This window comes from Homo sapiens, chromosome 3, assembly GCF_000001405.40.
Source record: "Homo sapiens chromosome 3, GRCh38.p14 Primary Assembly".
In the NCBI taxonomy this organism is placed as follows: Eukaryota; Metazoa; Chordata; class Mammalia; order Primates; family Hominidae; genus Homo; species Homo sapiens.
The window spans coordinates 170,643,046-170,669,704 of NC_000003.12; the positions used below are offsets into that span (position 1 = coordinate 170,643,046).

A 26,659-nucleotide genomic window follows, 5' to 3' on the forward strand; every position below is an offset into this window, starting at 1 on the left:
TGAATAACCTTGCTTATACATCATTGTGCCTGTGTGTGAGCAGATCTGTGGCATAAAGTCCACAAAGCAGAATTTCCAGGTCAGACAGAATGAAAGAGACAGCATAGATGAGCACATACTAATTTGATGTGCAACCTCAGAGAAGGTACTTGACATTTCTGGGCCTCATTTTCTTCTTTGTAAAGGAGAGGGGTTGCCCTGAACGACCTGCAGTTTCTTTCCACCTTGGAAGTCCCTGGGATTCAGAACCTCCCGCCTGTGAGGAGTTTGGCAAAGATCATTGGTCTGGCCCTTGTGATCTGCCCATGAACACAGTGTATCTGTGTCCAGGCCACCACAGCCAGCTGGGAGCCAAAATTTATTCTGTACACAGCCAACAGAGCAGAACTTGAAGAGCCAAGTCCAAGGGCCAGGCCTGACCTCATTTGTCCTTAAGTGGCATCTCTTCTGTTTTGACCTCTTTAAAGGTAGCTGCTTTTGCAGGCTTTGTGGAAATCAGAGGGAGCATGGAGGTATTTTGCTTCAATTTACAGAACTGAGGAAAATGAGTGAGCTAAATATACTTAAGATGAGTGGAGTGAAGCATTAGCCAGAATGCTGGAGGTACAAAGACTTAAATTAATAGGAAACTTACCAGGAGATTATTCAACAATGCAATCAACCAACCATGCAGGTTTTGTTTGTGCGTTGACTAAAAACAAGCCTGCTTGATGGTTTTGCCCTCTATGAATGTTGAGATTATGTGCTAGTAGGCTAAGTTTTAAGATAACCAGAGCCAACATAAGGACTTTCTGCATGCACTCTGATGCTCACTGTTATCATTGATCAGATTTGGGAATCATAGAATGTTTGGCTTGAAAGAGGCTGTAGGGATCACTAAAGCAAGCCTCTTGCTTGTGTACAGATTAGGAGATGGAAACCAGAAGTGGGGAAGTGCACCAGGGCTGTCGTAAGTGCAAGGGAAAGGGCCCTGTAAACAGACCCAGCTCCCAGGGTGGGTGGGGTGGCAGGACGTGCATTAAGCAGGTGGAAGAAGGCATCTAGAGGACACTGCAACAGGCGTGCACTCCCCAGTGACACAGCTGGTATGCATGAGGGGCCCAGCAGTGCATAGAAGGTGGAATTGTAAGCCTGGGAGCAGGCAGGATTCAGAAATCAGGCAAAAGCTTAAGAAACCTCTAATAAAGGGAGAAGGATTAATGAGGGCTCCAATCTTAGAAGGCCCATGTGTCTCTGGTCAGGTTGCTGAGACTCTGATATGTTTTGGCTGTGTCCTCACCCAAATCTCATCTTGAATTGTTACACTTCTTGTGTGAAGTGATACAATTCAATCACTTTAATTCAAGTGATTGAATTGTATCACTTCTTGTGATAGTGAGTTCTCATGAGATCTGATGGTTTTATAAGGGGGGCTTTTCCCCCTTTGCATGGCACTTCTCCTTCCTGCCACCATGTGCAGAAGGACATGTTTGCTTCCCTTTCTGCCATAATTGTAAGTTTCCTGAGGCCTCCCCAGCCATGCTGAACTGTGAGTCAATTAAATCTCTTTCCTCTGTAAATTACCCAGTCTTGGGTATGACTTTATTAGCAGCACGAGAACAGGCTAATACAGACACAAACACAAACACAAGGGCCGGCAGGGGCAAATATTGGATTCCAGGGCTGAGGCACGCCATGGGTACAGAGCAGAAGTGCAGCTGCCAGAATGGGGACCCAAGCAAGGGTGATCTGATTTTGAGCAGTACCTCCTTGTGTCACCCAGTCTTGGTTCTAGAGACTTGGAAGGTAAGCCTGTAAATGGAAACAGGCCAGCCAGAGAGGGGAAAAGGGAACCAGGAAGCAGGCCAGGCTCCAGTCACCAGGTGGTTCTAATTACCTCCTAGATAAATTCCCCTCAAGTCCTTCCCTCCTCCCTCTACAGCTTCACTGTTGTGCTTGTTCAGGTTCCCAGCTTCAGCTTTACCTCCTCCTGAAAGCCATCTCTCTTTCCCAAAAGAGGTCTGGTTCCTACAGTTCCTATATCCCAGGAGTTCTCAAGTCTGGCTGTGGGTCCAAATGGAGAATTTTTTTTTTTTACTTTAAGTTTTGGGATACATGTGCAGAATGTGCAGGTTTGTTACACAGGTATACGTGTGCCATGGTAGTTTGCTGCACCTATCAATTTTTCATCTAAATTTTAAGTCCCTCATGCATTAGGTGTTTGCCCTAATGCTCTCCTTCCCCTTGCCCCCCCAAGCCCCTGACAGGCCCCACTATGTGTTGTTCCCCTCCCTGTGTCCATGTGTTCTCATTGTTCAACTCCCACTTATGAGTGAGAACATGCGGTGTTTGGTTTTCTGTTCCTGTGTTAGTTTGCTGAGAATGATGGCTTCCAGCTTCATCCTTGTCCCTGCAAAGGACATGATCTCATTCTTTTTTATGACTGTGTAGTATTCCATGGTGTATATGTGCCACATATTCTTTATCCAGTCTATCATTGATGGGCATTTGGGATTTGGGTTGGTTCCAAGTTTTTGCTATTGTAAATAGTGCTGCAATAAACATATGTGTGCATGTGTCTTTATAGCAGAATGATTCATAATTCTTTGGGTATATACTCAGTAATGGGATTGCTGGGTCATATGGTATTTCTGGTTCTAGATCCTTGAGAAATCACCCCACTGTCTTCCACAATGGTTGAACTAATTTACACTCCCACCAGCAGTGTAAAAGTGTCCCTCTTTCTCCACAGCCTCACCGGCATCTGTTGTTTCCTGACTTTTTAATAATCACCATTCTGACTGACGTGAGATGGTATCTCATTGTGGTTTTGATTTGCATTGCTCTAATGACCAGTGATGATGAGCTTTTTTTCATATGTTTGTTGGCTGCATAAATGTCTTCTTTTGAGAAGTGTCTGTTTATATCCTTTGCCCATTTTTTGATGGGGTTGTTTGTTTTTTTCTAGTAAATTTGTTTAAGTTCTTTGTAGATTCTGGATATTAGATCTTTGTCAGATGGGTAGATTGCAAAGTTTTTCTCCTATTCTGTAGGTTGCCTGTTCACTCTGATGATAGTTTCTTTTGCTGTGCAGAAGCTCTTTTGTTTAGTTAGATTTCATTTGTCAATTTTGGCTTTTGTTGCAATTGCTTTTGGTGTTTTAGTCATGAAATCTGTGCCCATGCCTATGTCCTGAATGGTATTGTCTAGGTTTTCTTCTAGCGTTTTTATGATTTCAGGCTTTACATTTAAGTCTTTAATCCATCTTGAGTTAATTTTTGGATAGGGTGTAAGGAAGGGGTCCAGTTTCAGTTTTCTACATATGACTAGCCAGTTTTCCCAAAACCATTTATTAAACAGGAAATCCTTTCCCCATTCTTGTTTTTGTCAGGTCTGTCAAAGATCAGATGGTATAGATGTGTGGTGTTATTTCTGAGGCCTCTGTTCAGTTCCATTGGTCTATATATCTGTTTTGGTACCAGTACCATGCTGTTTTGGTTACTGTAGCCTTGTAGCATAATTTGAAGTCAGGTAACATGATGCCTCCAGCTTTGTTCTTTTTGCTTAGGATGGTCTTGGCTATATGAGCTCTTTTTTTGTTCCATATGAAATTTAAAGTAGTTTTTTTTAATTCTGTGAAGAAAGTCAATGGTAGCTTGATGGGATTCCCAATGGTGGGAATAGCATTGAATCTATAAATTACTTTGGGCAATATGGCCATTTTCATTGATTCTTCCTATCCAGGAGCATGGAATGTTTTTCCATTTGTTTGTGTCCTCTCTTATTTCCTTGAGCAGTGCTTTGTAGTTCTCCTTGAAGAGGTCCTTCACATCTTTTGTAAGTTGTATTCTTAGATATTTTATTCTCTTTGTAGCAATTGTGAATGGGAGTTCATTCATGATTTAGTTATCTTCTTGTCTACTGTTGGTGTATAGGAATTCTTATAATTTTTACACATTGATTTTGTATCTTGAGACTTTGCTGAAGTTGCTTATCAGCTTAAAGAGTTTTTGGGCTGAGACGATGGGGTTTTCTAAATATACAATCATGTCATCTGCAAACAGAGATGATTTGACTTCCTCTCTTCCTATTTCAATATGCACTGTTTCTTTCTATTGCCTGATTGCCCTGGTCGGAACTTCCAATACTATGTTGAACAGGAGTGGTGAGAGACACCACTCTTGTCTTGCACTGGTTTTCAAAGGGAATACTTCCAGTTTTTGCCCATCCAGTATAATATTGGCTATGGGTTTGTCATAAATATCTCTTATTATTTTGAGATACGTTCCATCAATACCTAGTTTACTGAGAGTTTTTAGCATGAAGGGATGTTGAATTTTATCAAAGGCCTTTTCTGCATCTATTGAGATAATCATGTGGTTTTTGTCATTGGTTCTGTTTATGTGATGGATTACATTTATTAATTTGCATATGTTGAAACAGCCCCGCATCCCAGGGATGAAGCCAACTTGATCATGGTGGATAAGCTTTTTAATGTACTACTGGATTCGGTTTGCCAGTATTTTATTGAGGATTTTCACATCAATGTTCACCAGGGATATTGGCCTGAAATTTTCTTTTTTTGTTGTGTCTGTGCCAGGCTTTGGTATCAGGATGATGCTGGCCTCATAAAATGAGTTAGGGAGGAGTCCCTCTTTTTCTATTGTTTTGAATAGTTTCAGAAGGAATGGTACAAACTCTTCTTTGTACCTCTGATAGAATTTGGCTGTGAATCCATCTGGTTCAGGGCTTTTTTTGGTTGGTAGGCTATTAATTAATGCCTCAATTTCAGAACTTGTTATTGGTGTATTCAGGAATTCGACTTCTTCCTGGTTTAGTCTTTGGAGGGTGTATGTATTCAGGAATTTATCCATGTCTTCTATATTTTCTAGTTTATTTGCACAGAGGTGTTTATAGTATTCTCTGATGATACTTTGTATTTCTGTGGGAAGAGTGATGATATCCCCTTTATCATTTTTTATTGCATCTACTTGATTCTTCTCTCTTTTCTTCTTTATTAGTCTGGCTAGCAGTCTATCTCTTTTGTTAATCATTTCAAAAAACCAGTTCCTGGATTCATTGATTTTTTGAAGGGTTTTTCGTGTCTCTATGTTCTTCAGTTCTGCTCTGATCTTAGTTATTTCTTGTCTTCTGTTAGCTTTTGAATTTGTTTGCTCTTGCTTCTCTAGTTCTTTTAATTGTGATGTTAGGGTGTAGATTTTAGATCTTTCCCACTTTCTCATGTGGGCATTTAGTGCTGTATATTTCCCTCTTAATGCTGCTTCAGCTGTGTCCCAGAGATTCTGGTACGTTATCTCTGTGTTCTCATTGGCTTCAAAGAACTTCTTGATTTCCTCCTTAATTTCGTTATTTACTTGGGAATCATTCAGGAGCAGGTTATTCACTTTCCATGTAGTTGTGCAGTTTTGAGGGAGTTTCTTAATCCTGAGTTCTAATTTGATTGCACTGTGGTCTGAGGGATGATTTGTTATGATTTCCATTCCTTTGCATTTGCTGGGAAGTGTTTTACTTCCAATTATGTGGATAATTTTGGAATAAGTGCTATGTGGCACTGAGAAGAATGTATATTCTGTTAATTTGGGGTGGAGACTTCTGCAGATCTTTATTAGGTCCACTTGGTCCAGAGCTGAGTTCAAGTCCTGAATATCCTTGTTGATTTTCTGTCTCATTGGTCTTTCTAATATTGACAGTGGGGTGTTAAAGTCTTCCACTATTATTGTGTGGGAGTCTAAGTCTCTTTGTAGGTCTCTAAGAACTTGTTTTATGAATCTGGGTGCTCCTATATTGGGTGCATATATATTTAGGATAGTTAGCTCTTCTCGTTGAATTGATCCCTTTACCACTATGTAATGCCCTTGTTTTGTCTTTTTTGATCTTTGTTGGTTTAATGCCTGTTTTATCAGAGACTAGGATTGCAACTTGCTTTTTTTCCCTCTTCATTTGCTTGGCAAATATTTCTCCATCCCTTTATTTTGAGCCTATGTATGTCTTTGCATGTGAGATGGGTATCCTGAATACAGCATATGGATGGGTCTTGACTCTTTATCTAATTTGCCAGTCTGTGTCTTTTAATTGGGGCATTTAGCCCATATACATTTAAGGTTGATATTATTATGTGTAAATTTGATCCTGCCATTATGATGCTAGCTGGTTATTTTGCCCATTATTTGGTGCAGTTTCTTCATAATGTCATTGGTCTTTATATTTTGGTGTGCTTTTTGCAGTGGCCAGTACCAGCTTTTCCTTTCCATATTGAGCGCTTCCTTTAGTAGCTCTTGTAAGGCCGGCCTGGTGGTGACAAAATCCCTCAGCGTTTGCTTGTCTGTAAAGGACTTTATTTCTCCTTCACTTATGAAGCTTCATTTGGCTGGATATGAAATTCTGTGTTGAAAATTCTTTTCTTTAAGAACGTTGAATATTGGCCCCCACTCTCTTCTGGCTTGTAGGGTTTCTGCAGAGCAATCCACTGTTATTCTGATGGGCTTCTCTTTGAAGGTAACCTGACCTTTTTCTCTGGCTGCCTTTAACAGTTTTTCCTTCATTTCAACCTTGGAGACTCTGATGATTATGTGTCTTGGTGTTGATCTTCTTATGGAGTATCTTAGTAGTGTTCTCTGTATTTCCTGAATTTGAATGTTGGCCTCTCTTGCTAGGCTGGGGAAGTTATGCTGAATAATATCCTGAGGTGTGTTTTCCAACTTGGTTCCATTCTCCTTGTCACTTTCAGGTATGCCAATCAGTCATAGGTTTGGTCTTTTCACATAGTCCCATACTTCGTGGAGGCTTTGCTCATTCCTTTTCATTCTTTTTTCTCTACTCTCATCTGCATGCCTTATTTCAAGAAGATGGTCTTCAATCTCTGATGTCCTTTTTTCCACTTGATCAATTTGGCTATTGATACTTGGGTATGCTTCACGGAGTTCTTGTACTATGTTTTTCAGCTCCATCAGGTCATTTATGTTCCTCTCTAAACTGGTTATTCTAGTTAGCCATTTCTGTAACCTTTTATCAAATTTCTTAACTTCCGTGCGTTGGGTTAGAACATGCTCCTTTAGCTAAGAGGAGTTTGTCATTACCTACCTTCTGAAGCCTACTTCTGTCAATTTCTCAATCTAATTCTCCAACCAGTTTTGTGCCCTCGCTGGAGAGGAGTTGCAATCATTTGGAGAAGAAGAGGCATTCTGGCTTTTCGAATTTTCAGAATTTTGCACTGGTCTTTCCTCATCTTCCTGGATTTATCTACCTTTGATCTTTGAGGCTGATTACCTTTGAATAGGGTTTTTGTGTGCGGGTCTTTTTTGTTGTTTTTGTTGTTGCTTTCTCTTTGTTATTTTTTCTTCTAACAGTCAGGCCCCTCTTCTGCAGGTCTGCTGCAGTTTGCTGGAGGTCCACTCCAGACACTCTTCCCCTGGGTATCATCAGTGGAGGCTGCAAAACAGCAATGATTGCTGCCTGCTTATTTCTCTGAAAGCTTCATCCCAGAGGGGCACCTGCCAGATGCCAGTTGGAGCTCTCCTGTATGAGGTGTCTGTCGACCCCTGTTGGGAGGTCTCTCCCAGTCAGGAGGCACGGAGGCCAGGGACCCACTTGAGGAGGCAGTTTGTCCCTTAGCAGAGCTGGTGTGCTGTGCTGGGAGAATCTCCCTTGTCAGGATCAGCTGCTCACTTGAGAGCCAGCAGGCAGGAAAGATTAAATCTGCTGAAGCAGGGCCCACAGCCGCCCCTCCCACCAGGTGCTCTGTCCCAGGTAGATGAGAGTTTTATCTGTAAGCCCCTGACTGGGGCTGCTGCATTTCCTGTAGAGATGCCCTGCCCGGTGACAGGAATCTAGAGAAGCAGTCTGGCCACAGCCACTTTGCCATGCTGTGGTGAATTCTGCCCAGTCCAAACCTCCCAGTCTCCTTCGCACTGTCGGGGGAAAACTGCCTACTAAAGCCTCAGTGATGGTGGATACCCCTCTGCTCACCAAGCTCCATCATCCCAGGTCAACTCCAGACTTCTACGCTGGCAGTGAGAATTTCAAGCCAGTGGTTCTTGGTTTGCTGGGCTTTGTGGGAGTGGGACCTGCTGAGTGAGACCACTTGGCTCCCTAACTTCATTCAGGCCCCTTTCCAGGGGAGTGGACGGTTCTCCTGTCCCATTGGGGTTCCAGGTGCCACTGGGATATGAAAAATCTCCTGCAGCTAGCTCAGTGCCTGCCTAAACAGCCACCCAGTTTTGTGCTTGAAACTCAGGGTTCTGGTGGTGTAGGCTCACAAAGGAATCTATTGATCTGTGGATTGCGAAGATCTGTGGGAAAAGCATAGTACCCGGGGCGGGTAGCACTGTCCCTCATGGCTTCCCTTGGCTGGGGGAGGCAGGTCCCCTGCCACCTTGCACTTCCCAGGTAAAGCCATGCCCCGCCCTGCTTCTGCTTGCTCTCTGTGGGTTGCATCCACTGCCTAACCAGTTCCGTGAGATGAACTGGTACCTCATTTGGAAATACAGAAATCACCTGCCTTCTGCATTGGTCTCGCTGGGAGCTGCAGACCAGAGCTGTTCCCATTCGGCTATCTTGGCCCTTACCCAAATGGAGAATTTTTTAAACTAGTGATGCCAAGGCCCCACTCCAGACTGATTAAATCAGCAGGTCTGTCCTATGCATGCTGATGTATTTGGCTGAGGTCATAATGTCTGCATCTTATTTTCCAAAGCATTTTGTGTGTATTTATATTTCTCTATCTATCTATCTAAATGTTACTATGTATATATATATGTGTATTGTACTGTTATTCCACATTTTCTGTATGTTTGACATTTTTCAAAATAAAGATTGAGAAAAAATGATGAGTATCTCCAGGATTGGCTGGGTCATCTGTCTTCACAAAGTTTCTGTGTGGTGCTCCTGTCCAGAGCTGGCGAGATTGAGGGCACTTAACGTTTGACACACTGCTTTGACTCTGACTCCCCTAGGAGACTGTCCTACCCTGAGGACAGGGGCCTCGTGTGCCTCAGAACTTTGCATTCCCCTATCCCCCAGCCCTAGAATGTGCCTGGCATATAGTGGGCATTGAATACATATTTGATGAGCCTAACCAAAAGGAAGTTACATTCAGGGCAGATAGGTGAATATGTATTTATTATTCTTTCAATCAATCAATCAATCAATCAATCAATCTTTCGTCACTTATGGAGTGCCTATTGTTTCATGCATGTTTTAGGCACAATGGATCATCTAATGATCTAATGAAGGACAGGGTTTCTCACTCTTGGAAGTATGGAGATTTTGGCCCAGATAATTCTTTGTTGTAGGGGGCTGTCCTGCGCTTTGTAGGATGCTTAGCAGCATTTTTTATCTTTACTCACTAGATGATAGTAGCAACATACCTCCAACCTCACAAGTTGTGTTAATCAAAACTTTCTCCAGACATTACCAAATGTCCTCTGGGAGCAAAATTTTAACCTCCAGTTAAAAAGCACTGATCTGTAAGACAGCCTGCCTTTAAAAAATCTGAACAGTAATGAAGGAAATGGATATATATACACGTGTGTGTGTGTGTGTGTGTGTGTGTGTGTGTGTGTGTGTGTGTGCAATGAAAGATAAGATGTGTGAAGGACTGTAATGTATCAGAATGTTATGAAGCATAAGAAGAGAAAAAGTTAATTTCATTTGGGGGCATTTGGGAAGACATTATTGTAAGCACTGGGTTTGGGTTTTAGTAGCTTTGTGGATGGGAAGCTCTTTCAATGTAATTTCCTTTCCTAAGCTTCTGCCAGCTTACATCTACACAGCCTGCGGTCACCCTTGTCGTCTTCTGAACCTTGTTTCTTAGACGAAGAAACTGAATCCAAGCGAGTTTGGATTACTTGAGGTAAGAGGTGGTTTACAACACAGACCTTGGAACCAGACTGCCTGGCTTTGAATCCTAACTCTACCAATTTCCAGTCGTGAGCTTAGGGCTTGTGATTTAACCTCTTAACACCTCAGTGTCCACATACAGAAAATGGAGCTAATAATAGCTTCTATCATCTCATAGAGTTTTAGTGAGAAATTTACATGTGTCAAATGTTTAGAACAGCACCTGGCCTCCATATATACATAAAAAACTATGGAAGTGTTTGCTACTATCACTATTGTTACCAAAGCCATCCAGCAACTTGGTGGCTGAGGTGAAGTGATCAATTGGATCTGCAGTCTCCTGGCCCAGGGTTTTCTCCACTGCAAAGTCTTTTTGCTGGCACCACTGGGAAAGGCAGACCCCATGAGCACCATTCTCTGTTTAAACTTCACCATCCAATAGAAATATCAAGCAAGCCCCATGTGTAGATTTTCTAGTAGCCACATAAAAAAAGAAAAATGGATGAAATTAATTTTAGTAATACATTTTATTTTAGCCAATATATGAAAATATTAGTATTTCAATACGTAATCAATAAAAATTGTTAATGAGATATTTACATTTTTTTTTCCATACTAAGTCTTGGAATCCAGAGTGTACACATACAGCATATCTCAAGGAGCCACTTTTCAAGTGCTCAATAGGCGCATGTGGCTTGTGGCTGTCATATTGGAGAGTACAGATTTTCTAAACACTGCAAGGGCTTTCAAGGTGGCCGGACATTCATATTATTTCTGACTATGCCTAGGGGATGACAAATCAGCGCAAATAGTAAAAGTCTTCTTGAGTTTTTTGCAGGACACTGCATCCCCTTCCCCTTCCCCTTCCCTTTCCCCTTTCCCCTTTCCCCTTTCTCCCTTCTCCTCCTTCTTCTTCTTCCTTTTGTGAGAAAGCCAGCCGACTATTGCTCGGGGGCAGGCAACTCACAAGCTCTTTGTGGGGCTGGTCAGCTTCCTCTTCACCATCACAGACGTCTGGCTGCGCAGGATGGCGCTGGCCTTGCTGATGGCAGCCATGGCAGGTCAGGGCGGTACTTGTTCTTGCGGATCATGTATCTGATGCTGCTGAGTTTGGCTCCAGCGTTCTTGTTGATGATGGTCCGCACGTAGGAGATGGCAGGCGTCCGCTGGCCGGATCTCCGCTTCGTGACCACCAGGACACCTCTGCCATGGGCTGCCGGCTCCACGCCCACAGTCTTGCAGTGAATCAGCCGGTTGTAGCGGGAAGGAGTTGCGGGCCTTCAAGTTATTGGGCTCGGTGCTGTAGGTGTGTTTATTCCTCTTGATCAGGAAACTGGAGCAGTTCCGCATGATCACCGATTGCAGATGCGCAGACATGGCGGCAGCTCCTCTCACAGCGAACGCCGGAGACGGAAGGAGCTGGATACTCTTCTTGCTTGTTCCTATCCCAACTTCATCAAAATAAGGCGACTATTTTTTTTTTAAATGGTAGGAGTTCATTCATTAGCCTTTCCAACCTTGATTTAACTTAAGTACAGCTTTCAGTAAATCATGACACAACAGCTCCAGATGCCACCCAAGATGTTCAGAGGCGCATATGTAACCTCTGTGAGCCCGGAGCTCCTGCTTACCCTGCCAGATGAAGCCTTGCCACCTCTTTCCATGGCTAGCCTGGAATCTCCTGCCTTGACTCTTCTGTGGTGACCTCAGATTGCCTCCTAGGACCTCCTGAGTGGGCCAGCATCATCTGCTCCTCTTCCACCCCAGGAATGGGGAAGGGGATGGAGGCTGAGAACAATTGGCGACCTGTCTGAGGCCAGGCAGAAATTTGTCACCACTGATGGAACACAAGCTGGCAGGCCCTGGGTGGCCTCTTTAAAATGTTCTGCAGTGCAAGCATTGCACACTCCTGGCAATTTTGTAAGGGCAGTGTCCAGGACAATAGCAAAGAAATTCTTACCTTGCTTACTGTGAGTCACATGCTGTTCTTAGTGCTTTACTTTACTGACAAAATCCTCGCCGCAGCCCACTGAGGCTGCTGGTCTTATTAACCCCATTTTACAGATGAGGAAATTGAGATCTGGAGAAGTAAATGGCCTGCGTAATGTCACACAGATGTAAGAGGCAAAGAGGAGTCAAACCCAGAGTCTGAGTGCCTCGTTGTGCCACAGTGAACCCTTCAGACTTGGGTTGGGCCACCAGCCTTTGCTTCTCAGTGAGAAATGTAGGTTCCAGGAAGATAGGGTTTCTGTGATTTTGTTCCCTGCTCCGTCCTCACCACCTAGAACCTATTGGTTGACTGGCTGCCACCTCCTTGCTGCTGGTGGTGTCCAATCTTAGCTCTAGACCACAACTCAGGCCGATGGTTGTTCCACTGGGCGCTTGTCATCCTGCATATGATCTGACTTTGACTTCATGCCTTGCCTACTGCTTGCACTTGATTTTTGGCCTCTATGTAAGTGACCAGAGACCTGCCCCAAGGCCAGAGAGGCGTTCAGTTGCTTGAGGCAACTCAGGCTCAAAGCAGATCTGATCTTGGCATAAGCACATTGAGTCTTATTTCCCTACCCTCTGAATGATGAGGCTGGATCAGGTGAGGCTGGAGTATCAGTGTTTCCACCCCTTCGCTCCTGGAAGGTTGGGATTGGGGGGTGGAAGAGTGGGGATATGGTACAGGCTGATGGTACAAGGATTTCTGTGTGCAAGAAAATGTGCTCCATGCCAGTCTTTATGGGTGGTTACAGGGAGGAGTGCCTGGCACCAGCTACCCATCCGAAGACATTTACAGTCTAGCCTGGATGTAGCAGGTTCCCAGTTGCCCTCCTCCTCCCACCTCTGGCTCTAGCCCAGGCCAGCCTGACTCCAGGTTCCACACTGTTTCCACACTGGCTGTTGGTGCAGGTCCACCTGAGGAGAAATCACCTTGGCTCCCTTTCTACTCCCCTAATATCTTGTTTTCTGCATCTGAAGACCTCCTGATCTTTCTTCATCTGAATAACCACAAAGGGCCCCTTGAATGGTGGAGAGTGTCAAAAGGTGCAGCCTCAGGAGGGCCCTGGAGAGCACAGGGGCCCGTGTTGTCTGAGAACCTGCAGTCTGGCTGTTCCACTTCTCCCCCTGTGCAGGCTCAGGCTTCCATCTCAGGATGTGCACAGGCCCCAAGTCTGGGGCCCTCACTCTCTGTATACTGCCTTCAGTGGGAATAAGGGATCCCAGGAGAGGAGGTCTGGAACTTTGTCGGGGGAAGCTGGAGAGCTGGGTTGGGTGGGACACAGGGCCAGCTAAACCCAAGTCCATGGGCGGGTTTCTTCCCTGAACCTGTTATCCTTTGATTCTCATATGAGGATGTTCCCATGATACCACAGGGCACTGACCAATTCTTTCTCTTATGCACATACATGTGTGCATGTGCCCAGATATACATGCATACGTGTGTGTGTGTCTTCAAAAAGGGCATGAGGGCAAACCTCTCACAGGATTTAATGTCATGCTTCCAAATGTGCTCAAGCAAAGTCATCTATCTGGAAACTCTATTTCTCCCAGAGGCTGTTATTCTTTAACTCCCTCAAAATAGGGGTCAGTGACTCTAAATGCAGAGTGACAGTTAACCAACTGTGTAACACCAGCCTTAAGGTTCAAAGGCCTTAATGGAAAAGCCAGCTTTTACCCCAAGCATTAGCAGACCAGATGTGGTTTGCAGAACTTTCTGGAGCTTTAAACAGTTGGAGGCTATCTGTCCCTTCCGGGGGCACCCTGCTCAGTCAGGATACAGACTTCAGACAGGGAGCCTCCCTCACCACAGCCTGATGGCTCATCTTCCAAAGGGCTTCCGTGCTTTCATTCTTTGCTAACAAACACAACTGAAATCAGGAGATCTGGATGCATCCTGGACAAGGGAGACACAACACAAATCCCTCTAACAGATTATGGACATGGTGAGCTAGACATGGAGACAGGCCCAGAGCACAGAGAGAGCTGGGATGAAGAATGCCTACCACAACCCAGGGGAGGCCTGGGTTTCAGGAACAGGTAACCCCAGGGCCGAGCCTTGAGGGGTAAGTAGGAGTTAACTAGAGAATCCCTAGCAGAAAAGACAGCCAAGTGTGCAGGTGTGGTCAGCATTGCTGGAGGGTCAGCTAGGACACCCTTGGCAGAGACAAGTTGCAGCCCCCAGGTAGCCATCATGGAAAGCTTTGTGTGCTGTGGCAGGGAGCTTGAACTTCATCCTGAAGGCAGTGAAGCTCCAGGAGAGCATTGTAACTAAGGCAGTAACACAGACAAACAATAGTAATAGCCAACATTTGTGAAATGAATACCTTTTAGATGTCAGGCATTGTTCTAAGTGCTTTGCATGTATTGGTTAACTTATTTAATCCTTTGCAGCAGCCCTATAGAACAATACTGATATTATTCCCATGTGACAGCTGAGGAAACTGAGGCATGGAGTGTGCACACAGTCATCTAGCTCCTAAGTTGTGGAGCTGGTATTTGAACCTAGGAAGTTTGATTCTTGAGCTCATTCTTTCAGTCACTCTGCTGTTATTTATAATTTTGTAGCCATCTCTGTTCAAAAGGGATTTTAGGTGATTTATAATATAACCTGGTGCACAGTAAGCAAACTAAAAATAAAGTTCAAAGTGAAAGAGAGAACAGAAACAGAAAAGCAAGCAGACATTTATGGCAAGAATTCAAGATGGGAAATCACTGAACTTGAGCCCTAATTTTTATCGATTTTTTTTTAAAAAAAGTGTGAAATTGTCAAGTTACAATCTTATTGCTCTTTGTGTGTTTATCAGGAGACACATGCTGCTTCCGTATACTGAATTCTATAAGGAAATTTGTTGTTTACTCCCTGATATGAACTGTGATGTAATGCATAAGATGCATTAGCTTTCTAGGGCTACTATAACAATTGACAGAAAAATTGGTGTTTTAAAACAACAGAAATTTACTTTTTTTCACATTTCTGGAGGCCAGAGGTCCAAAATCAAGGTGCTGTCAGGGTTGGTTCCTTCTGGAGGCTGTAGGGGAGACTCCATTCCATGCCTCTCTCTCAGTTCCTGGTGGTTGCAGGCAATCTTTGGCATTCCCTGGGTTGCATTACTTCAATCTCAGCCTTCATCTTCATATGTGTCTTTGTGTCTCAAAACTCCCTCTCCTTCCTCTTATAAGGACATCAGTCATTGGATCAAGGCCCCAGCCTAAATCTGTGTCTTTGTGTCTCAAAACTCCCTCTCCTTCCTCTTATAAGAACATCAGTCATTGGATCAAGGCCCCAGCCTAAATCCAAGATGATCTCATCTTGAGATCTTTAGTTTAATTCCATTTGCAAAGACCTCATTTCCAGTAAATAAGGTCACATTCATAGTTACCAGGGGTTAGGACTTGGATGTAACATTTTTGGATGCCACTATTCAACACACTCTAGAAGGCATTTAATAGCAATTCTGCAAAAAATAATTAGAAGGGGTTCTTTTACGGCTGTTTCTCACAGTGATAAAGCCAAGGGTAGAGTTTTGCTTTGATTGCAATTTAACTCACTTGAGATGGGTAGTTCCATCTTGTTTGGAGGGGTTTGCCTGTCCTCCAGAAAGGGCTCCTGAATTGAATGTCTTGTCAGCTATGTATCTTTGGTGGACAGAACTTCACTTGGAGTCAGGTGATTCACAGGACTCCTGGTATGAAGCGGAGTTTTTGTCTTGGACCCATTGATGGGAGGCTGCCTAATCTAGTACAGAAGTCCCTAACTTGGGCACAAGTGAGAATCACCAGGGGAGATTTTGCAAAAACACATGCCACAGTTGCACGCAAGGCAAATGAAGATGACTCTCTGACCTCTATTGTCCCTTCCCCTGTATTGACTTTCTAATGGGAATCTCCATTTGTGATGGGGTGGTTGGGATCACCCGTTCCAGGCTGTTGCTGGTTTCCTTTCAGTCCAGTGGCATGGGGAAGGGGAGAGGGGGTACATGATCTGTTAAAGTAAGAGTGGCCTTGAGATTCTATTTGGATTTGCTTTCATGGCTCCTTTCCAAAAAAGAACACATTTGTTCCTCTCTGAACTTTAATATCCTCATCTGTAAAGTAGGGTAAGCCAATTCATTTATTATTTTTTGAGACAGGGTCTCGCTCTTTTGCCCAGGCTGGAGTGCAGTGGTGCTATCTTCACTCACTGCAGCCTTGACCTCCTGGGCTCAAGAGATTCTCTCACCTCAGCTTCCTGAGTAGCAGGGACTACAGGCATGCACTACCATACCAGGCTAATTTTTGTAGAGACGGGGTTTTGCCATGTTGCCCAGGCTGATCTTGAACTCCTGAGCTCAAGTGAGCCACCTGCCTCAGTCTCTCAAAGTGCTGGGATTACAGGCATGAGCCACTGTGCCCAGCCTGAGCAAGGCAATTTAACTCATAGAATTGTTATAAAGATTAAATGACACATCATATGTAAAATACTCCACACAGCATCTGACAGATGTGGAGGAAGAGAGAACTGTACTAAGGGCATTGTTGTTTGTTCCAGGTCATTGGTGTGCCAGGGATTTCTGGTAATGATCACTCTTCAGTGGAGGAGAACAAGAAATAAACAATCACTGTGGCTCCTCTCTCCAGAACTTATGGAGAAAAGCCCCGACCACCTGGCCTTCTCTTCGCTTCTTGACAAAGTTACTGATTTCACCTTTGTTCTTCAGTGATCGCTGTTCTCCAGGAGAAAAAGCTATTTGTTTAATGAGACTCCTATGTCCTGCTGGAAAAGTGAATATTGAGAAGGGGGGCCTTAGGAAGCTCTGGTGAAAACCCAGGGCTTCTAATTAAGCCAGGTCTTCTGCTCACCCAAAGACCCAGCCTGGACTTCAGAACAAATCACCTGAAGCCTGCATATTTCAATAATTTAATAGGACAGATTTCCCAGGCGTGTTTTGAGGGCAGGAGGTCATTTTCAAGTAAGAATTTTCCCAGAAGTAACAAGCATATCTTTACACTGGGCCTTTCTTAGTTGAAGTTCATTATGGAAACAGCAATTCTTCTAAAATATTATCTACCCAAGGACTGGCATGCAAAGTCTTCCAGGATCTAGTCCCGGCCTACCTTCCAGATGAAACCATTGTCTACTGAACCTTCTATGCTCTAGCCATGTGTATTAGTCTCCTTGGGCTGCCATAACAAAATACATAGACTGGGTGGCTTAAGCAACAGAAGTTTATTTTCTCACAGTTCCGGATGCTAAAAGCCCGAGATGAAAGTGCCAGTTTTTTGTGAGGGCTCCGTTTTTCGCTTGTAGGCAGCCACACTGTGTCCTCACATGGCCTCTCCTTTATTACAGCTCTCTGGTGTCTCTTCTCATTTGGACAATAATCCCATTAAATCAGGGCCCCACCTTTATGACCTCATTTAGTCTTAATTACTTCCTTCCTTACTCTTATTACAGCCACAAATGGAGGAGTTAGTTTTTCAACATATGAATACTTGGGAGGACACAACATTCAGTCCATAACACCAAGCTGCGGATCCTCACACAGGACTTGGGCTCTTCTACTGCCAGGGCTTGGCTCCACCCATTTCCTTGACCTGGAATGGCTTTTGCCCGGTGAATTCGTATTCCAACTCTCTCTGCTACAGATGCCATCTCCTCCACAAAGTGTTCTCCATCTCCTTCCCCATTCCTCCCCCAGTTGGAAGCGAAAGTTCTCCTGGCTTTTTTCAGGTTTACATAGGATTTCTTTTCTCTATTTCTCTCCTTGTATTCTTGTCCTGGCCCACTATCTAGGCTGTGGCTTTCACTTCTGGCTGTGCAGAGTTATTTTAGAGATTTTAAAAGTTCCAATGCTAAGCCCAATTCCAGACCTCCTGAAGAAGAATCTCTGATGATGGGGCCCAGGATCACATGTCTTAAGGATGGGACCGTATTAATATGTGGCAATGAGGGAGTGAAAGCAACTGCACTAGCAGCAAACTCTGTGGGAATGTCATCCTTGCAGAGACAACATGGTGCCTTTCTGTGCTTGGTATTATTTCTTAGCTCTTTGCTGACATCTTCTTTAGTGGTACATTTCCTAGACCACCTGTCCACCAGGGTTCTGGGTGCAAGTTTGGCTCTGCCAATGAGATGCACTGTGTGCTCATCTCAATTTTGTGGACCCTGGGGGACAGCAGACAAACTTAGCAATAGGTCATCAAAGAGAAAGAAGAAATCCTATTTATTGAACTCCAGTGAAGTGCTGGAAGTTGTGCTAGATGCTTTACAATACTTTATTTTGTTGGGGTGGTAAAATATACATAACATAAAATTCACCATTTTAACAACTCTAAATTGTACAATTAAGTGGCATTTAGGACGTTGACAATGTCGTACATTTATTACCACTATCTAGTTCAAAAACATTTGCTTCATCTCAAAAGCAAATCCGGTTCCTATTAAGAAGTCACTTCCCTCTACTCCGAGCCCCTGGCAGCCACTAATCTGCTTTCTGTCTTGATGGATTTGCCTATTCTTGTCATTTTATATAAATAGTGATATACACTATGTAGTATTTTATGTCTGGCTTCTCTCACTTAACATATTGTTTTCAAGGTTCACCCATGTTGTAGCATGAGCCGGCACTTCATTCCTTTTTATAATGAAATAATATTCCATTTTATGGATACACCACATTTTGTTAATTCATTTACTGGTTGATAGACATTTGGGTTGTTTCCACCTATTGGCTATTGTGAATGGTGCTGCTATGAGTATTTATGTGTAAGTTTTTGTTTGAATATCTTTTTCTCAATTCTTTTTTTTACATACTTTTAAAAGCAGATCTTATTTGACAAATAAAGAAATTACATCTTGCTGATGAATGGATGAAGAAAATGTGTTACATATACACCATGGAATACTACTCAGTTATAAAAAGAAATGAAATAATGTCTCTTGCAGCAACTTGGATGGAGCTAGAGGCCATTATTGTAAGTGAAGCAACTCAGGAATGGAAAAGCAAATATTGTATGTTCTCACTCATAAGTGAGAGCTAAGCTATGAGGACACAAAGGCATAAGAGTGATATAATGGACTTTGGGGACTCAGGAAGGGAGGCTTGGAGGGGGTTGAGGGATAAAAGACTACATATTGGGTATAGTGTACACTGCTTGGGTGACAGGTGCACTAATATCTCAGACACAGACATCACCACTAAAAAATCTTATCCCCATAACCAAAAACCACCTGTACCCCAAAAAGTATTGAAATAAATAAAAGAAATTAGGTCTTGGAGATATTGTTTAAGTTATATAGCTGCTATGTGACAGAGCTGGAATATGAATGAAGGTTTCTGACTCCAGATTCTGGGCTCTCTCCACCACACTATAAGCTGCTTTTGTGAAGTCAGACCTCAGTTGTCTCCTATGGTAACTTTGAAATTATGTTTTCTTATTTTCTGTTCTCAACATTGGAGAACTCCTTTTTGGCATCCAAGACATTTTGTGTTTGACATGAGCTTGTTCTCTCTTTGACTTTCTTTCTTTCTTTTTTTTTAATTTTATTATTATACTTTAAGTTTTAGGGTACATGTGCACAATGTGCAGGTTTGTTACATATGTATACATGTGCCATGTTGGTGTGCTACACCCATTAACTCGTCATTTAGCATTAGGTATATCTCCTAATGCTATCCCTCCCCCCTCCCCCCACCCCACAACAGTCCCCAGAGTGTGATGTTCCCCTTCCTGTGTCCATGTGTTCTCATTGTTCAATTCCCACCTATGAGTGAGAACGTGTGGTGTTTGGTTTTTTGTCCTTGCGATAGTTTGCTGAGAATGATGGTTTCCAGTTTCATCCATGTCCCTACAAAGGACATGAACTCATCATTTTTTATGGCTGCATAGTATTCCATGGTGTATATGTGCCACATTTTCTTAATCCAGTCTATCGTTGTTGGACATTTGGGTTGGTTCCAAGTCTTTGCTATTGTGAATAGTGCCACAATAAACATACGTGTGCATACGTCTTTATGGCAGCATGATTTATAGTCCTTTGGGTATATACCCAGTAATGGGATGGCTGGGTCAAATGGTATTTCTAGTTCTAGATCCCTGAGGAATCACCACACTGACTTCCACAATGGTTGAACTAGTTTACAGTCCCACCAACAGTGTAAAAGTGTTCCTACTTCTCCACATCCTCTCCAGCACCTGTTGTTTCCTGACTTTTTAATGATCGCCATTCTAACTGGTGTGAGATGGTATCTCATTGTGGTTTTGATTTGTGTTTCTCTGATGGCCAGTGATGCTGAGCATTTTTTCATGTGTTTTTTGGCTGCATAAATGTCTTCTTTTGAGAAGTGTCTGTTCATGTCCTTCGCCCACTTTTTGATGGGGTTGTTTGAGTTCATTGTAGATTCTGGATATTAGCCCTTTGTCAGATGAGTAGGTTGCGAAAATTTTCTCCCATTTTGTAGGTTGCCTGTTCACTCTGATGGTAGTTTCTTTTGCTGTGCAGAAGCTCTTTAGTTTAATTAGATCCCATTTGTCAATTTTGGCTTTTGTTGCCATTGCTTTTGGTGTTTTAGACATGAAGTCCTTGCCCATGCCTATGTCCTGAATGGTATTGCCTAGGTTTTCTTCTAGGGTTTTTATGGTTTTAGGTCTAACATGTAAGTCTTTAATCCATCTTGAATTAATTTTTGTATAAGGTGTAAGGGAGGGATCCAGTTTCAGCTTTCTACATATGACTAGCCAGTTTTCCCAGCACCATTTATTAAATAGGGAATCATTTCCCCATTTCTTGTTTTTGTCAGGTTTGTCAAAGATCAGATAGTTGTAGATATGTGGCGTTATTTCTGAGGGCTCTGTTCTGTTCCATTGATCTGTACCTCTGTTTTGGTACCAGTACCATGCTGTTTTGGTTACTGTAGCCTTGTAGTATAGTTTGAAGTCAGGTAGCGTGATGCCTCTGGCTTTGTTCTTTTGGCTTAGGATTGACTTGGCGATGCGGGCTCTTTTTTGGTGCCATATGAACTTTAAAGTAGTTTTTTCCAATTCTGTGGAGAAAGTCATTGGTAGCTTGATGGGGATGGCATTGAATCTATAAATTACCTTGGGCAGTATGGCCATTTTCACGATATTAATTCTTTCTACCCATGAGCATGGAATGTTCTTCAATTTGTTTGTATCCTCTTTTATTTCATTGAGCAGTGGTTTGTAGTTCTCCTTGAAGAGGTCCTTCATGTCCCTTGTAAGTTGGATTCCTAGGTATTTTATTCTCTTTGAAGGAATTGTGAATGGGAGTTCACTCATGATTTGGCTCTCTGTTTGTCTCTTATTGGTGTATAAGAATGCTTGTGATTTTTATACATTGATTTTGTATCCTGAAACTCTGCTGAAGTTGCTTATCAGCTTAAGGAGATTTTGGGCTGAGACAATGGGGTTTTCTAGATACACAATCATGTCATCTGCAAACAGGGACAATTTGACTTCCTCTTTTCCTAATTCAATACCCTTTATTTCCTTCCCCTGCCTAATTGCCCTGGCCAGAACTTCCAACACTATGTTGAATAGGAGTGGTGAGAGAGGGCATCCTTGTCTTGTGCCAGTTTTCAAAGGGAATGTTTCCAGTTTTTGCCCATTCAGTATGATATTGGCTGTGGGTTTGTCATAGATAGCTCTTATTATTTTGAGATACGTCCCATCAATACCTAATTTATTGAGAGTTTTTAGCATGAAGGGTTGTTGAATTTTGTCAAAGGCCTTTTCTGTATCTATTGAGATAATCATGTGGTTTTTGTCTTTGGTTCTGTTTATATGCTGGATTACATTTATTGATTTGCGTATGTTGAACCAGCCTTGCATCCCAGGGATGAAGCCCACTTGATTATGGTGGTTAAGCTTTTTGATGTGCTGCTGGATTTGGTTTGCCAGTATTTTATTGAGGATTTTTGCATCAATGTTCATCAAGGATATTGGTCTAAAATTCTCTTTTTTGGTTGTGTCTCTGCCAGGCTTTGGTATCAGGATGATGCTGGCCTCATAAAATGAGTTAGGGAGGATACCCTCTTTTTCTATTCATTGGAATAGTTTCAGAAGGAATGGTACCAGCTCCTCCTTGTACCTCTGGTAGAATTCGGCTGTGAATCCATCTGGTCCTGGACTCTTTTTGGTTGGTAAGCTATTGATTATTGCCACAATTTCAGAGCCTGTTATTGGTCTATTCAGAGATTCAACTTCTTCCTGGTTTAGTCTTGGGAGGTTGTATGTGTTGAGGAATTTATCCATTTCTTCTAGATTTTCTAGTATATTTGCGTAGAGGTATTTGTAGTATTCTCTGATGGTAGTTTGTATTTCTGTGGGATCAGTGGTGATATCCCCTTTATCATTTTGTATTGCATCTATTTGATTCTTCTCTCTTTTCTTCTTTATTGGTCTTGCTAGTGTCTATCAATTTTCTTGATCTTTTCAAAAAACCAGCTCCTGGATTCATTAATTTTTTGAAGGGTTTTTTGTGTCTCTATTTCCTTCAGTTCTACTCTGATTTTAGTTATTTCTTGCTTTCTGCTAGCTTTTGAATGTGTTTGCTCTTGCTTTTCTAGTTCTTTTAATTGTGATGTTAGGGTGTCAATTTTGGATCTTTCCTGCTTTCTCTTGTGGGCATTTAGTGCTATAAATTTCCCTCTGCACACTGCTTTGAATGTGTCCCAGAGATTCTGGTATGTTGTGTCTTTGTTCTCATTGGTTTCAAAGAACATCTTTATTCCTGCCTTCATTTTGTTATGTACCCAGTAGTCATTCAGGAGCAGGTTGTTCAGTTTCCATGTAGTTGAGCAGTTTTGAGTGAGTTTCTTAATCCTGAGTTCTAGTTTGATTGCACTGTGGTCTGAGAGACAGTTTGTTATAATTTCTGTTCTTTTACATTTGCTGAGGAGAGCTTTACTTCCCAGTATGTGGTCAATTTTGGAATAGGTGTGGTGTGGTGCTGAAAAAAATGTATATTCTGTTGATTTGGGGTGGAGAGTTCTGTAGATGTGTATTAGGTCTGCTTGGTGCAGAGCTGAGTTCAATTCCTGGGCATCCTTGTTAACTTTCTGTCTTGTGGATCTGTCTAGTGTTGACAGTGGGGTGTTAAAGCCTCCCATTATTATTGTGTGGGAGTCTAAGTCTCTTTGTAGGTCACTCAGGACTTGCTTTATGAATCTGGGTGCTCCTGTATTGGGTGCATATATATTTAGGATAGTTAGCTCTTCTTGTTGAATTGGTCCCTTTATCATTATGTAATGGCCTTCTTTGTCTCTTTCGATCTTTGTTGGTTTAAAGTCTGTTTTATCAGAGACTAGGATTGCAACCCCTGCCTTTTTATGTTTTCCATTTGCTTGGTAGATCTTCCTCCATCCCTTTATTTTGAGCCTATGTGTGTCTCTGCACATGAGATGGGTTTCCTGAATACAGCACACTGATGGGTCTTGACTCTTTATCCAATTTGCCAATCTATGTCTTTTAATTGGAGCGTTTAGCCCATTTACATTTAAGGTTAATATTGTTATGTGTGAATTTGATCCTGTCATTATGACGTTGGCTGGTTATTTTGCTCGTTAGTTGATGCAGTTTCTTCCTAGCCTTGATGGTCTTTACAATTTGGCATGTTTTTGCAGTGGCTGGTACCAGTTGTCCTTTCCATGTTTAGCGCTTCCTTCAGGAGCTCTTTTAGGGCAGGCCTGGTGGTGACAAAATCTCTCAGCATTTGCTTGTCTGTAAAGTATTTTATTTCTCCTTCACTTATGAAACTTAGTTTGGCCGGATATGAAATTCTGGGTTGAAAAGTCTTTTCTTTAAGAATGTTGAATATTGGCCCTCACTCTCTTCTGGCTTGTAGAGTTTCTGCTGAGAGATCTGCTGTTAGTCTGATGGGCTTCCCTTTGTGGGTAACCCGACCTTTGTCTCTGGCTGCCCTTAACATTTTTTCCATTTCAACTTTGGTGAATCTGACAATTATGTGTCTTGGAGTTGCTCTTCTCGAGGAGTATCTTTGTGGCGTTCTCTGTATTTCCTGAATCTGAATGTTGGCCTGCCTTGCTAGATTGGGGAAGTTCTCCTGGATAATATCCTGCAGAGTGTTTTCCAACTTGGTTCCATTCTCCCCGTCACTTTTAGATACACCAATCAGACGTAGATTTGGTCTTTTCACATAGTCCCATATTTCTTGGAGGCTTTGTTGGTTTCTTTTTATTCTTTTTTCTCTAAACTTCCCTTCTCACTTCATTTCATTCATTTCATCTTCCATCACTGATACCTTTTCTTCCAGTTGATCGCATCGGCTCCTGAGGCTTCTGCATTCTTCAGGTAGTTCTCAAGCCTTGGCTTTCAGCTCCATCAGCTCCTTTAAGGACTTCTCTGCATTGATTATTCTAGTTATACATTCATCTAATTTTTTTCAAAGTTTTCAACTTCTTTGCCATTGGTTTGAATTTCCTCCTATAGCTCGGAGTAGTTTGATCATCTGAAGACTTCTTCTGTCAACTCGTCAAAGTCATTCTCTGTCCAGCTTTGTTCCATTGCTGGTGAGGAACTGCGTTCCTTTGGAGGAGAGGTGCTCTGCTTTTTAGAGTTTCCAGTTTTTCTGCTCTGTTTTTTCCCCATCTTTGTGGTTTTATCTACTTTTGGTCTTTGATGATGGCGACGTACAGATGGGTTTTTGGTGTGGATGTCCTTTCTGTTTGTTAGTTTTCCTTGTAACAGACAGGACCCTCAGCTGCAGGTTTGTTGGAGTTTGCTAGAGGTCCACTCCAGACCCTATTTGCCTGGGTATCAGCAGTGGTGGCTGCAGAACAGCGGTGGTTGTAGAACAGCGGATTTTGGTGAACCGCAAATGCTGCTGCCTGATCGTTCCTCTGGAAGTTTTGTCTCAGAGGAGTACCCGGCTGTGTGAAGTGTCAGTCTGCCCCTACTGGGGGGTACCTCCCAGTTAGGCTGCTCGGGGGTCAGGGACCCACTTGAGGAGGCAGTCTGCCCGTTCTCAGATCTCCAGCTGCGTGCTGGGAGAACCACTACTCTCTTCAAAGCTGTCAGACAGGAACATTTAAGTCTGCAGAGGTTACTGCTGTCTTTTTGTTTGTCTGTGCCCTGCCCCCAGAGGTGGAGCCTACAGAGGCAGGCAGGCTTCCTTGAGCTGTGGTGGGCTCCACCCAGTTTGAGCTTCCCAGCTGCTTTGTTTACCTAACCAAGCCTAGGCAATGGCAGGCACCCCTCCCCCAGCCTTGCTGCCACTTTGCAGTTTGATCTCAGACTGCTGTGCTAGCAATCAGCGAGACTCCATGGGCATAGGACTCTCTGAGCCATGTGTGGGATATAATCTCCTGGTGTGCTGTTTTTTAAGCCCGTTGGAAAAGCACAGTATTAGGGTGGGAGTGACCCAATTTTCCAGGTGCCATCTGTCACCCCTTTCTTTGACTAGGAAAGGGAACTCCCTGACCCCTTGCACTTCCTGATTGAGGCAATGTCTCGCCCTGCTTCAGCTCATGCATGGTGCGTTGCACCCACTGTCCTGCACCCACTCTCTGGCACTCCCTAGTGAGATGAACCCGGTACCTCAGATGGAAATGCAGAAATCACCCGTCTTCTGCGTCGCTCACGCTAGGAGCTGTAGACTGGAGCTGTTCCTATTCAGCCATCTTGGCTCCACCAAACTCTGACTTCCTTTCTGTTCCAGAGGAGTAGCCAGCCTTGAATTTATCAGGTAAGATTTATGTGAATAGCTCCTGAATACTTTATTATTTCAAAGTGCCCAAGGCATTGTTATTCTTAAAAATTTGCAAATATGCACCCCGAATAGCCATTATGATAAATAGTACCTCCTTCATCATGATCAATGTGCCTTTCCCCCCGGAATCAAATCTTTATTATGCTTACCAGGGTGGATGTAGAATTTATAGGTCTTTCCTTTTATAATGAGTCAAGCATTAATGACAAAAAGAAAATGTTGGAGTTATTGTCATCTTGAGACTTGAGAAAAATGTTGGCAAATTATGGGAAAAGGAAGAAAATATTAAACCTCTCAAGAAAGAGCCATGTGAAATGGTTGTTGAAGGGCCTAACAGTTACTGGATGCAAAGAGAAAAAACAGGGGCCCTGCTGAAGTGTAACCTGATGAGGACCAGCAAGCTTGGGCTTCCCTACAGCATGGCAGCCTTGGACTTCTCACATGGCAGCTCAGTGTCCTAAGTTGAGTATTTCAAGTCAGAGAGTCTGGCAGAAGCTGTATCACATTTTATGACTTGGTCTTGGAAGGTCACATAATGTCACATCCTCCATACTCTATTAGTTAAGGCAGTCAAAGGCCTGGTCATATTCAAGTAGAGGGAATGTCTAGCTTCCCTCCATGTCTTGGTGGGGATGTGGCAAAGTTCTTCTGCAAGAGCATGTGGGTTGATATTGTTAAAACCATTTTTGGAAAATGCAACCTGTCATAATAACTAAGGTGTTTTTTGAAATTTACATTTTCTGTTCTTCTCTCTTGCTTCCTCAAGATCCTCCACACTATAGTAAGAATGATGGTGGGAAACATCAATGGAGGGAGAGAGAGGACAGACAAGCACAATAAGTGCAAACCCTAATTATGAGGGCATAGAGTCAGAATGTTTATTAACTCATTCATTCTTTCAACAAATATTTACTGAGTGCCTGCTATGTGCCAGATACTGTTATCAGACACTGTAATAAGCATATCAGTGATCAAAACAGACATAGATTATTGCCCTCATGTAGTCTCCATTCTAGTAGAAGAGTTACTAACCAAGCTCAATGTGCCAGGCTCTGTTCTCAGCACTTTACACATGTGATCTTATTTAAACCCCTCAGCAAG

At 42.9% G+C, this 26,659-nt stretch overlaps 1 long non-coding RNA gene and 1 pseudogene across 2 annotated transcripts in view; one reads left to right on the plus strand and one right to left on the minus strand.

Moving 5' to 3' along the window:
• SLC7A14-AS1 (SLC7A14 antisense RNA 1) overlaps positions 1–26,659 on the plus strand; it is a 287,921-nt gene that overhangs the window by 175,761 nt on the left and 85,501 nt on the right. The window contains exon 3 of one of the 2 annotated variants that reach the window (NR_135555.1): positions 16,358–19,078. The exons of the other annotated variant lie outside the window; for it this stretch is intronic. This is a non-coding gene — a long non-coding RNA (SLC7A14 antisense RNA 1). Of the gene's footprint in view, positions 1–16,357; positions 19,079–26,659 lie in introns of those variants that run through there. 2 annotated transcript variants of the gene reach the window in all.
• On the minus strand, positions 10,891–11,256 carry RPL28P1 (ribosomal protein L28 pseudogene 1; annotated as a pseudogene).